The sequence below is a fragment of the Homo sapiens genome, chromosome 2, assembly GCF_000001405.40.
Source record: "Homo sapiens chromosome 2, GRCh38.p14 Primary Assembly".
Taxonomy (NCBI): Eukaryota; Metazoa; Chordata; class Mammalia; order Primates; family Hominidae; genus Homo; species Homo sapiens.
Genome location: NC_000002.12, coordinates 121,341,026 through 121,354,461, shown reverse-complemented (window position 1 = coordinate 121,354,461; position 13,436 = coordinate 121,341,026). Strand labels below are relative to the sequence as shown.

General features: G+C 47.9%; 1 protein-coding gene across 35 annotated transcripts in view, besides 1 other annotated feature; it reads left to right on the top strand.

The window, feature by feature from the left end:
- CLASP1 (cytoplasmic linker associated protein 1) overlaps positions 1-13,436 on the top strand; it is a 311,687-nt gene that overhangs the window by 295,001 nt on the left and 3,250 nt on the right. For all 35 annotated transcript variants that reach the window (XM_047443792.1, XM_047443782.1, XM_006712383.2 and 32 more), the window contains 2 exons: positions 5,744-5,950; positions 7,308-7,424. In XM_047443792.1, coding sequence (XP_047299748.1) covers positions 5,744-5,950; positions 7,308-7,424 — 324 coding nt within the window. The remainder of the gene's footprint in view (positions 1-5,743; positions 5,951-7,307; positions 7,425-13,436) is intronic.
- Positions 2,168-2,340: a silencer, noted in NCBI's record as "fragment chr2:122109698-122109870 (GRCh37/hg19 assembly coordinates)". NCBI's record gives its function as "represses an EF-1alpha promoter that drives an FKBP-Casp9 reporter gene in an ReSE screen in HepG2 liver carcinoma cells {active_cell/tissue: HepG2}" and the evidence as "EXISTENCE:reporter gene assay evidence [ECO:0000049][PMID:32094911]".

The following is a 13,436-nucleotide window of genomic DNA, read 5'->3' as shown; positions in this document are numbered from 1 at the left end:
GGCTTTCCCAAACACACACAGACTCTGAGACCTGCACAAATGGAGGAGGAAGAAAAGCGCCCCGTCTGAGGTAACCCATTACCTGACAGAGCTCTTCCAAGAAACATGCCGGTCCTCCTCAGACAATTGGTGACTGGAAAAACCTGAGCTGAAGTCTCTTTTCCAAAGAACTAGTCTGTTGCTTTTCCAGTGTGTCACCTGGAATGGGACTCTCTGGGCCTGGTACAGTAGATTTTTCTACAGCCCAAGTTGATCATTTGTAGATAACCTGCCATGCTCCTAGTTTTCTGTGCTAGCTCCTTAGGAAAAATGTAAATCCAAGTCAATGTGGCATGCTCCAGATGTGACTTTGTGAGTCATGAGCATTAAAAATATGTACGCTGGCCTGGGTGTAGTGGTTCATGCTTGTAATCCCAGCATTTTGGGAGGCTGAGGTGGGCAGATCATTTGAAACCAGTTTGGGTAACATAGCGAGACCCCATCTCACATACTGAGACCCCTACAAAAAACTTAAAATATTATGTGTGCCTGTAATCCCACCTACTTGGGAGGCTAAGGTAGGAGGATCGCTTGAGCCCAGGAGATCGAGGCTGCAGTGAGCCATGATCACACCATCGCACTCCAGCCTGGGCAACAGAGCAAGACCCTATCTGTGTGTGTGTGTGTGTGCGTGCATGTGCACACGCACACTATGGGGAAATTAGTTCAACAGCTATTTATTGAGCACCTGGCGTATACTGGACATTGTGCCAGTCATGGGAATAGAAAGATAGCTAAGATGGGATCTTGCCTTCAAGGAACTTTTAGTCTAGTGGGAGGGACAATTTCAGCAAAATATTTACCTGCAGTGATAAAATAAAGCATACACATGGTGAGGCTTCCTGGGAGTTGTGTTGCAGTAAGTCCTCAGGATGACTTGGCCAGGGGCATAGAGATGTGGCTGGGCAGGGTGTGGGCAGGGAGAGGAAGCACCACACAGGCAGGAAGGAGCTAGGCCTTGCTGAGGAACCTCAGGCATCTTAGAGGTCATTGGAGAGGGCATACCCATCATGATGTTGGCACTGGACCCCAGGGAAGGAGCTGGCTTACCAGTGTTACCCATTCTTAGAACATTCAGTGTGATGACTGGGCCTCTGTGGAGTCTCGGGGTCACAAAGCTCTGCCCCCTTCACCCCCGATCCCCAGCAACTTGGGAGCTCCCGGCTCAGCTGCTGTGCCTTCTGGTGGTGCCTCTGCTGCTGAGCTCCACTCTGGTGTCATTCCTCCACCAACACCTAGCTTGTGTTTTGTTTTTGTTTGAGATGGGGTTTCTCCATGTTGCCCGGGCTGGTCTCAAATTCCTGGGCTCAAGTGATCCACCCAGCACAGCCTTCCAAGTAGCTGGGGTTACAGGTGTGAGCCTCCATGTATGGCTTAGCCATCATGTGTTTTGTAGCTAAAATATACCAAGCTGGTTTACATCTTGTCTCAATTCAGATAACTGTGAAAGTAGATACTTTAAAATCCTCATTTTAGGCTGGTCGCAGTGGCTCTGTAATCCCAGCACTTTGGAGGCTGAGGTGGGTGGATCACTTGAGGCCAGGAGTTTGAGACCAGCCTGGTCAACGTGGTGAAACCCCGTCTCTACTAAAAATACAAAAATTAGCTGGGTGTGGTGGCACGCACCTGTAATCCCAGCTACTTGGGAGGCTGAGGCATGAGAATCGCTTGAACCCAGAAGCAGAGGTTGCAGTGAGCCCAGATGACTCTATTGCACTCCAGCCTGAATGATAGAGTGAGACTCTGTCTCAAAAAATTAAAAATAAAATCCTCATTTTAGGAGTTTTTATTAAAAAATGGAAGCTTAGACCAAGGAAGTTTTTTGCCAGAGGATTCAACTAAGGTTTGTCTCCTGTGCTTCTCTCAGAGGCTGAGAATATGCTCATCTAACTCTGGAGGCTGCCTTTGTCGGGGTAAAAAAGTGAAAGGCCACACGTACACACCAGGGTCTAAACAGCACTCTGCTTTCAGGTGACCTGTGTGGAAAGAGCTACCTTTGGCAGGAGTTTGAATTGGCAAGAAAAAGAAATCACAGTGGGCTTCCTTCAAATAGGCTCCTTCCTGTACATTGGTGGCATGCATGGAGTCAATGCCGTCCATGTTGAGTCCGACGCTTTGGCTGGCAAGGGGAAGGCCTGCTCACTGAGGTGCCCGGACGAGGCAGAGGCAGGGCAGGCCGGCTGTGCATGGCCGAGGGCCCTTGAGCTGGAGGAAGGCCCGCAGAACACCAAAGAAGCCTTCTGCACATATCCATGCTCCTTCCTCCTCCCATCTAATCCTGGCCACCCACAAGAAGTGCATCAGGTAGCAGGTCCCTGCCATCTGGCTCCTTCCTGGGTCTCCACACCCTCATGCTGGCCCTCTGCACAGACTACCCTCACTCTGCCCTCAACCACCAGAGCATGGGTGGCCCGGTCCTTCTCAGCTCTGTGGCCTGAGCTTTGAGCTCAGTCTCTGACACACAGGAGGCACCTGGTCAGTGCTGGGTGAACAAACGTACACACAGAGCACAAATGAGAGGAAAGAATCTTACGAGGTGCTTGAGAGTTGGACATGACTTTTAAAATAAAATTGCCTCTCTACAGTGCTTCGTCCTCGAGCCTGACCTTCACATACATAGTGAGCACAGGCGAATCTTGGGTGTTCTGACCTGTACACAGTACTTACCCTTAAGCCATGCTGATCCGGAGCTCCACCAGGGATTCATCCATAATCCCAGTGTAGGCCCCAGAGGTGGCTGCAGTGTGTTCACTCCAGGGTGCCGGCTACGTGGTGATGGATGTGGTGATCTTATTTCATGAAACTCCTAGCCTTTACTCAGGGCTGCAAGGAGTTAGCGGGTCCTCCCAGGGAAAGTACAAAAGACCTCCAACAAGAAAGACTTGAGGGAGGTAGGGCTTCTTTAAGTGGGACATATTCTCAGACAGCTAGGAGAATTAATTCTCAGTCCCTCAGTAAGTACTAAGCTCCTGGTAAATGCCCAGCTTAGTGGGTACTTAGGTACAACAGAAATGTTTCAGTTCCTGGATGTTTGATAAGAAGAAACACACATGGAAATGCCACCAGAAATACAAAGCCGTCTACATATGGTGCCATGTGAATGTCACAGACAGAGGAACAGAAGTTGGGGGAAAAGTGTCACTGGTCTGATAGGGAGGCCTGGGCAGGGGCTGGGACGTGTGTGTCAGCCACATCTGAGGGACAGTGAGTTTTGTAGTTCAGCAGAAGGGCTTTATGGAGAGTGGGAGGTCAGCAGGAACAGTCATGATGATGGCGCTGGCTGTACCACGGAGCACCTCCCGTATGCTGGGGTGGGGTTCCCTTCAGGAAGACGAATGAGGTGCGGCCTGCTCCTCAAGTGCACTGCCCTGCCACCTTCCACCCTGAGCCAGGGCTGGGCTGCCAGTTTTCCCTGGCCTCAGACAGTTCAAGTAGATTTTCTGGAATACATTTTCCTTGCTACAAAGGTTATATTGTAATGGTAAAAACTGCAACTAATTTTGCACCAGCCTAATGTTCATTGCAATTTTTCTATCTATCTAAAAAGTATGAAGAGGAAAACAAAGTTATCCATTATCTTACCGCCCTGAGAGAAAGAGCGTTAACCCTTGATGCACTTTCTTCCAGGTGTTTTGTAGTGGTAAGTGCCAGGTAGTGGGTGTGAGTAGCCAAAGCTCATATGGGGCTTCATAGTGAAAAACCCACTAACAGCAGCACGGCTGGCCCCAAACGTGTCCATTGTTAATGAGATGAACTCAGCTGTCTAGTGTTGGAAAAATTTCCCTTTACCATTCCACAGAGCAGAGCTGACACATGGACTCATGCACACTCCCTGAAGTGAGCCCTGTTCATGGGACAGTGTAGCCCTGGGCTGAAGGTGAAGCCGAGCGTCTTCTGGAGCCACAGTCTCTTCCCAGAGCCCCAGGAGAGCCTCAGTGAGGGCCCCAAAGTGACCCCAAGCAGTTTATATGGCCTCTGAGCCCAGCCCTGGGCCTGTCTGCTACACAGCTCAGGTGGCCTCTCTGTGGGCCTCCTGTCCATTTCCCACACTCCCTGACTTGTACAGACTTCTTCACCCACTTCATGCCCATAACTAGAAGCAGCTTTCCAGATGATCCATATGCTGTTTCCATGGGCCTGTCTTGCTTCACTCACAAGGGCTGGGATGACTGAAGCTGTGGGCTGGTAGTCTTCACCTTTTTGTTGTATGAAGTTAGAGCTGAGTTATTTTGAGTAACAGAACATAATGCAAAAAGGAATCTGGATGGAATGACTAGCCCAGTCAGGGCTGGCAGTAGGCAAAAAGTATTCGAGTTCTGTTGTACTTTGTAAGAAAATCCATGTGCGTATAGCCTGGTGCCTGTCTTTATCTGTCATTTATATAATGTGTACTCTGTGCCATTGGTAGTAGTAAGCATCCTTTACTGACTATATCTTGAGTACTGCTCACCATTTATCTCTGTGACGTCCCTGTTTTACAGATGAGGACATGGAGTTTTAGCATTTGGGACTAGCATGACTGGGACCTGCTCCCTGAGCCCAAGGCCGAGGCTCTTTCCACCAGGCCTTCTGCTGTCCTCTTTCTTGCTCATTGGGTTTTGCATTTTGCTTCCATCTTTATTACAAAAGGGTCTTGTGGCCCTCCAGAGGTCAGAGGCTGCTCCTTTGACCATGAGATGGCCATTTCATGTACCTCCCTAAAAATGGAAGGCAAAGGGGTCATCGTGAGCACAGAGTCCTAGAAAAGCAACTTTCCAGAAGAGATTCCTCAGGAAAACCCTTTCAGGGGCTTCTCTCTGTGCCTTCCCAACTGCCTCAACTGCCTGGCAGGTGGGCCTCTTCCAGGAAGTGCCAGCATTGAAGTCACTCTGATTTCCTCCAGGCTTCTTTGCAGATGCTCCAGTTGTAGGTGTCCCACAAGCCATTGGGAAGCATTTCTGTATTCAGGTCCTAGTCTTCTAGGGCGGAGGTTCTCCAATTTTAGTGTGTCTAGAAATCACCTGGTGCTTACCAACACAGCTCGTTGCACCCCCTCCTCCAGTTGGGGCCCATCTCTGAGTGAGCAGGTCTGGGTGGGCCTGAGAAGTTGCATTTCTAACAGGTTCCCAGCACTGCTGCTGGGGCTGATAGGGGGCTGCACTTGGAGTACCACTTTTCTTTTCTTTTCTTTTCTTTTTTTTTTTGAGACAGAGTCTTGCACTGTCACCCAGGCTGGAGTGCGGTGGCGCGATCTTGGCTCACTGCAAGCTCCGCCTCCCAGGTTCATGCCATTCTCCTGCCTCAGCCTCCCGAGTAGCTGGGACTACAGGTGCCCACCAACACGTCCGGCTAATTTTTTGTATTTTTAGTAGAGATGGGTTCTCACCGTGATAGCCAGGATGGTCTCGATCTCCTGACCTCGTGATCCGCCCACCTCGGCCTCCCAAAGTTCTGGGATTACAGGTGTGAGCCACCGCGCCCGGCCGAGTACCACTTTTCTAAGGTTTTTCCTAGAATCCCCTAGACCTGCCTTTCCGTGGCCCACGCTCCCCTTTAAAATCACCCTGCAGACCACTCTGTGTTTAACAATTGAGCCAGGCGAAGCAATGGCTGCCGTCTGACATTGAGGTCATTGTCCTTTGGCCTCTGAAATCAAAAGTGATGTTTGGTCTTTCGCTTCATGTGGCATGTGGAGCTCACTCTTTGGGGGAACTGGGTGTTTCAGGTGGTGAGAGCGGCTGAGGAGGCTGCGTCCACACTGGCCAGTTCCATCCACCCGGAGCAGTGCATCAAGGTGCTCTGCCCCATCATCCAGACGGCCGACTACCCCATCAACCTTGCTGCCATCAAGATGCAGACCAAAGTCGTCGAGAGGATCGCAAAGGAGTCATTGCTGCAGCTCCTTGTCGACATCATCCCAGGCTTGCTGCAGGTAGGCCCTCGTGTTGGTGGGGCCTGCCCCCGGCCTGTGTGGGGTTGCCTAACTTGAAGTAATGTAAGGGCTTTGTGCTCCTCCTTCACTGGCAGGGACGGGTAGGAAAAACCAGGCAGGACCTGTGAGGCCGTGTGGCAGGGACACTTCACAGCCTCCTCTGTCGGCTTCCAGCTCACCCCCTCTCCTGAATGCACTAAGAATGCTTTCCTGGCAGCTCACAGAATGAACTTTCTGTTTACTATAAACATACTTTGATCATTTTTTTGTCCATTCTTTCAACAAACCCTTATTGCACACCTGCTGTAGCCCCAGCCCTGGGCGAGGTGGACCATGGAGTGTAAATCAAACCATGGTCCTTGGTCTCATGCAGCACACAAATACTTACTGAAACTCTTCTAAGCATGAGACAGTAAGTGAGACAGACTGGCATAAAGCAGCTGCGTTCCACTGTGTGGACTGCCTCAGAGGATTTTCAGCCTACTCTGCAGCCACACAGACAATGACAGGTGTCACCATGGGCTACATGACAGTAGAGAAGGGGTTTCCAGGTTGGGGTGGGGGGTGGGGGAGAGAGGGTTCATAGAAGAGGTGGTTTCAAGTTGGCCCTTGGCGAGGGAGTTTCACTGGGGAAAGGTAGAGAGGAGTTAGCATCACATTTAATCAATGCTGCTGTTTGCTGGGCACTTGGCTTGGGGACTAAACACTTAATTGTTGAGGACTAGATTATTCCAAACAAAGGGAAAGGCACAGAGACTGAAGAGTCCCAGGCTGTTTGGAGAACAGCAGCAGGTAGCCCCAGCTGGGTGTGGGCCAGGATGAGGCCGACAGATAGATGGAGGCCCAGCTCAAAGGGACACGGACATCAGGCTGTGGGACCAGACGTTCCCCAGCAATCTCTGGAGGGTAGAGGGGTTTTGCTCACAAGAGCGAGTGATGATGTTCTCATTTCTTTAAAGGCATTTTCACAAGGAAATTTGGTTTACCTTTGGGAGAAATGGGAATAAACCAAGTTCTCTTTCCCCTTCATTTCCTTTTCTCATTCTCTCTCCTCTACAATGTTTCTTGGGTGGCAGCTTGTTACACGGTGATACCTGTGCAGACTCAGAGACCAGTCTGGGACTCTCCACCCTCCTGCTTCTGCACCCCAGAAACCAAGTTTCTCTTGATGCTAAGTTGTGACCACTTTGGGGTGAAAGCTGTCTGGATTCCATTGCGGGGCTGAGGTCTATCCTGGTTGTTACTGACAAGTCCAAGGTTGAACTCTGAGGGCATTTGTGGAAACGTTGATGAGATGTTGGCTATGGAATGAATCTTTGATCTGGTTTCCTTTTCGTGTTCCCTTCTGGCTCTCTAGGGTTATGACAACACCGAAAGTAGTGTGCGTAAGGCCAGCGTGTTTTGCTTAGTGGCAATTTATTCCGTAATCGGAGAAGACCTGAAACCTCACCTTGCACAGCTCACAGGGAGCAAGGTATGTATAGTGTTACCTGGGCTGATACGCACACCTGGGCTCTGCCAGCTTGTCATAAATCCATTTGACTGCAGCTCTGGATTCCAGACAGGTTTTGTTCATTGTGTTTTAGCTGGGCCTTATTTCTCCAAGAGGATTTTTCTAAATATAAAAATGAACTATACAGTGAAATCAGTTTAAGGTAAGACTGACATTACACAACATAGTCTGCCTTAACTCCTGTTTATGAAATGCTGATTTTGAGCTGCTGGTTTATTTCCAAAAGAAAAACAACTTTAATTAGAAACCATCCGATTTTTCATGGAAACACTAAAGAAATTTACCTGCTTGCTTAGCAGTTGCTGAATCAGAGCTGAGTCCCTCATGGGCATCAGTGGTGGCAACAGCTGGCTCTCACCTTGAGCCTACAGGGCAGCCCTACGCACTTTGCATGCGTTGACTCATGTTTACGGCAACATCCCTGTGGGCATGGTCATCCCCCTTAACGTGCCCCACGGCACAGACCTGACTCCAGGAGGCAGACTTCTTACTCACACTGCTGCCTCTAATGTTCCTTTAAGGGTGTCTGGAATCAGGGGAAGAAAATGGACCAAAATGGATGTCACTGAAAATGAGAGTGGCTAGACTGCTTATTGGTTTTAATTAAAACAACAACAACAACAACAAACTCAAATGTGACATGCTAGGCTGGTGAGAGCAGATTAAAAACCCGGCCTTATGCTGTGGCAGGAGAGGCATGGTGAAGGGGTGAGGCCTTGGTTCCCAGAGAGGAGGCCAGCTGGGCCTGGGGCCTCAGGACCTGCCTGTGGAGAAAGCGCATCTCTGTGGAGTTTAAAATCCCCACCTTTTTATACAAACCACTCTATCAAACGAAGCCAGTGGAAAACATGAAACCAGAAGCGCCTGCTCTTATGAGAGGAGGAATTGGCAAGTGGGGCCCATTTCATCATTTCAGATTGAGCTGTTGCTTTGATACAGCTGGTGAGCATTAACAGCCAGAGCCTTGTTTCTCCAGAGTTCTGGGGAAGCAAAGCTCTGGCTGGGGTGTTCAGAGCAGAGTTTCTCTACCTTGGCTCTGTTGACACTCTGGGCCACCTTGTTGAGGTGGGCTGCCCTGTGTGTGGTAGGAAGTTTAAGCAGCATCTCTGACCACCACCGTCTATACCGACATGTGCCAATAGCACCCATCACTGCTGTCTCACACCTGGCCAGATGCCCTCTGGGGGGCAGAATCACCCCTGGTTGAGAACCGGTGGTCCAGAGGAGACACTGTCCTCTTTTTGTAAACAGGAATCAGCAGATAGGCTGGAAGAGGTGTATGAGGCAGGTGTGCAGTGCATGGTTTGGGGGTGACCTTATTCTGTTCTCCAGTTCCTTCTCCTTGCCCTACTGCTGCACAGGCTCCTCATCAGATCCCCTTCCTAATTATCTGAAAGATACAGAGCAAAAGTCCCCCCAGCTCTCCTACCTCCATCAGGGATTTGTAGGTGATTCCTGCTGACCAGGAGGACCTTCAATGATACAATTCACAAAGGGAATTACATTTATAAAATGGAAAATTCATCCAAAAAGAACATGAGTCACACCTTGGTTTTGTCTGGCACTTTTTACTTTTCTTGAGTAAGAGAGTTGTCCCATCAACTCATTTGAACCTTTGGATAAGGGACAGAAAATCCAGGTGTTTTCTCCTCCCCATTTGGCAATTGACCCGCTGCTGCCACTCTTGGTGAAGCTTTGGGTCCAGAACCCACATTCCTGACCGGGAGCCAGCGCCTTCCCTCCCCCAGTTACAACCTTAGTTCCTCAGGGGTTTGGAGAGACTGGCCTTCACATCTTTCTGCTTTCGTAGCCCAGTTCATCCAGCCGTTAAGTTTTTTATTGTTATTATTTTTATATGGAGCCTCGCTCTGTCACCCAGGCTGGAGTGCAGTGGCACAGACAACCTCTGTCTCCCAGGTTCAAGCTATTCTCCTGCCTCAGCCTCCCGAGTAGCTGGGATTACAGGCGTGCGCCACCACGCCTGGTTAAGTTTTTGTATTTTTAGTCAACACGGGGTTTTGCCTGGTTGGCCAGGCTGGTCTCGAACTCCTGACCTCAGGTGATCCTCCTGCCTTGGCTTCCCAAAGTGCTGGGATTGCAGGTGTGAGCCACCGTGTCTGGCCTAAATTTTTTTTCATGTAATAGCTCTGGTATGTTCATATGAACTTTGTAGACTCAGGTACACATCTCCTAATACAAACTCCCTCCCTTCCTCAACCAGATGGTAGCTGGCAGGCAGAACCTGGTGCTAAGTCTGTCTCAATTTCCTTGACTAGAAACAAAGAGAATCAAGTCATGGCTCCCTGTGTTCCAGTGTTACAGGCCTATGGGAACACGCTCTCCTTTTGCTTAAATGAAGTTAATAAATGAAGGCTGGGCACGGCTCATACCTGTAATCCCAGCACTTTGGGAGGCCGAGGCGGGCGGATCATCTGAGGTCAGGAGTTCAAGACCAGCCTCACCAACATGGTGAAACCCCATCTCTACTACAAATACAAAATTAAGTGGGTGTGGTGGCACATGTCTGTAATCCCAGCTACTCAGGAGGCCGAGGCAGGAGAATCGCTTGAACCTGGGAGGTGGAGGTTGCAGTGAGCCAAGAACGCACCACTGCACTCCAGCCTGGGTGACAGAGCGAAACTCTGTCTCAAAAAAAAAGGTTTTTTTTTAAGAAAAAAAATAAGTGATACCAGGAAGAGATATCTTCTGTACGAAGAGGTCTGATGAAGGGAAGGAACCTCTGTAGTACATTTGGAGAGATGCCATGTTGCTAGGGCAGCAACACTAGCTTTGGGGTCAGCTTGCCTTCTGGTCTCTGTTCCCCACTTACGAGTTTTATGACCTTGAACAAGCATTCTTTTCTTTTTCCCCCCCTCCAGTCTTTTTATTGTGGTATAATAAAATTTACCATTGTAACTGTTTTTTTTTGAGATAGAGTCTCACTCTGTCACCCAGGCTGAAGTGCGGTGACGTGATCTTGGCTCACTGCAACCTCCGCCTACCAGGTTCAAACGATTGTCCTGCTTCAGCCTCCTGAGTAGCTGGGATTATAGGCGCCTGCCACCACGCCCAGCTAGTTTTTGTATTTTTAGTTGAGATGGGGTTTCACCATGTTGGTCAGGCTGGTCTCGAACTCTCGACCTCAAGTGATCCACCCACCTCCCAAAATGCTGGGATTACAGGTGTGAGCCACCTCATCCGACCCATTGTAACTATTTTTAAGTGTGTGGTTCATATTGTTGTATAACCATCACTACCATCCATCTTCGAAACTTTTTTCATTTTGCAAAACTGAACCTTTGCACCCATTAAACAATAATTTCCTATTTCCTTCTTTCCCAACCCCTGGCATCCACCTTTCTACTTTCTGTCTCCATGAATTTGACTACCCCAGGTGTCTCATATAAGTGGAATTACATCGTATGTGTCCTTTGTGGCTGGCTTATTTCACTTAGCATAATGTCCTCAGGGCTTATCCATGTTGCAGCATTTGTCAGAATTTCCTTCCTTTTCAAGACTGAATGTCCATTGTGTGTAGATTGCATGGTTTGTTTATCTGCTCATCTGTTGATAGACCCTGGGTTGCTTCCACCTTCTGGCTCTTGTGAATAATGCTGCTATGAACACTGGTGCACCTGTTCAAGTCCTTAATGTTTCAGGGAACCTCCCTGCTGTTTTCCACAGAGATTGCACCATTTTACGTTCTGACCAACAGTGCACAAGGGTTCTAATTTCCCCACATCCTCACCAACACTTGTTATTTTCTGTTTTTATTTTTCACTTTTCTAATTTATTTCTCATTATTTCTAATAGCCGTCCTCTATGAGATGAGGATGGGTATCTCATTTGTTGAAAATAAATAACCTGATGGCGATTTCTTATCTGTTAAAAAGATGATCCTTTCCCTATTAAACGGTCTTGGCATGCTTGTTGAAAATTATTTGACTGGTCCAGGAGTGGGTGGCTCACGCCTGTAATTCTAGCACTTTGGCAGGGTCACTTGAGGCCAGAAGCTCCAAACCAGCCTGGGCAACAGCAAGACCATGTCTGTGCATGCATAAATTAATTAATTAATTTTTGGTCACTCAGGCTGGAGTGCGGTGGCACAATCATGACTCACTGGCACCCTTGACCTCCTGGACTCAAGCCATCCTCCCATCTCAGCCCCTCCCCAAGTAGCTGGGATTACAGGCACACATAATCCCAGCTAATTTTTAAATTTTTTGTAGAGATAGGGTCTCGCTATGTTGCCAGTCTGGTCTTGAACTGGTTTCAAACGATTCTCCCACCTCAGCCTCCTACATTGCTGAGATTATAGGCGTGACCATGCCCAGCCAATTTTCTCTATTTTTCTGTTCTCTATTTTGTTTATCTCTGCTCTAATCTTTATTGTTTTCTCCTGCTAGCTTTAGATGTAGTTCTTTTTTCTAGTTCCTTAAGATAAAAGTTTAGGTTGTTGATTAGAGAGCTTTCTTTTTTAATGTAAGCATTTATAACTCTAAATTTCCCTCTTCAGCACTGTTTTTGCTGCATCCCCAAAAATTGTCTTATCATTTTCATTTGTCTCAAGATGTTTTCTAAGGCTAGGTGCGGTGGCTCACGCTAGTAATCCCAGCACTTTGGGAGGCCGAGGCAGGAGGATTGCTTGAGCCCACGAGTTCAAGACTAGCCTGGTCAACATGGCAAAGCCCCATCATACAAAATACAAAATTAGCTGGGCATGGTGGTGTGCACCTCTGGTCCCAGCTAGTCAGGAAGCTAAGGTGGGAGGATCACCTGATCCTGGAAGGTCAAGGCTGCAGTGAGCTGAGGTTGTGCCACTGCACTCCAGCCTGGGCCTCCGAGTGAGACCCTGTCTCAAAAAAAAAAAAAATTCTTTTTTTAAATATGTCTTCTAGTTTACCTTATGATCTCTTCTTTACTCATTGGTTGTTTAAGAATATGTTAACTCAATTTTTATAAATTTATGATTTTTTTTCGTTTTCCTTCTATTATTGATTTATTTCATCCCATTATGGTTGGAGAAGATGCTTTGGTATCTTTTTAAATCTATTTAAACTTAATTTGTGATTGAACATATGGTCTATGTTCAATCATATGTTAAATCCTATGATAAACCATATGTTAAATCACAAATTAAATTTCAATAGATTTGAAACTTAATGTGTCCCTTGAGAAGAATGTGTGTTCTGTTGTTGAGTTTCATATACATCTGTTAGATCAAGTTGGTTTATCAGGTTAAGTCCTCTATTTGCTTGCTTATCATCTGTCTGGTTCTTTTATCCATTATTGAGGGTGGAGTATCGAAGTCTTATCTCCAGAAGCTTTTTTGATGTCAACTCTGTTTTGTCTGATATTAGTATAGCCAGCCTTGCTCCCTTTGATTACTGTTTCATGGAATATCTTTTTATATCCTTTCATTTTCAATCCATTTATGTCTTTGGATCTAAAGTGAATTTCTTATAGACAGCATATAATTGGATCACATGTTTATCCATTCTGCCCATTTCTGTCTTTTGATTGAAGAGTTTAATCCATTTACATTTAAAGTACTGTCAGGCGTGGTGTCACATGCCTGTAGTCCCAGCTACTCAAGAGGCTAAAGGTGTGAAGGTTAGAGGATTTGCCCTCTGACCTTGGCCCAGCCACTTCCCCCCTGTGGAGCGGGGTTCTCACCCTGCTTTTTCCCTGGCTCTGATGGAGCCTTTGGGCTGCAGTCGTGCTTGAGATGAATGGCCCTGCCCCCGTATCCCTTCCTCCATGAGCTGCTGCGGCCCACCTAGTTGTGACACCTGGTGGTGGTCTTGTAATTGCCCACGGCTTTTCCCTCTCCTCTGGACTCTGGCCTCCTCCCTCCCTCTGTGGCCCTAGCACCTGGCAGATGCATTGGATGGGCAGCAGGCACTCAGAACATGTTTTTATAATGAATTCCTCAACCAAGGGAACTAAGGGACTTGCTGTTTCCTTACTGTC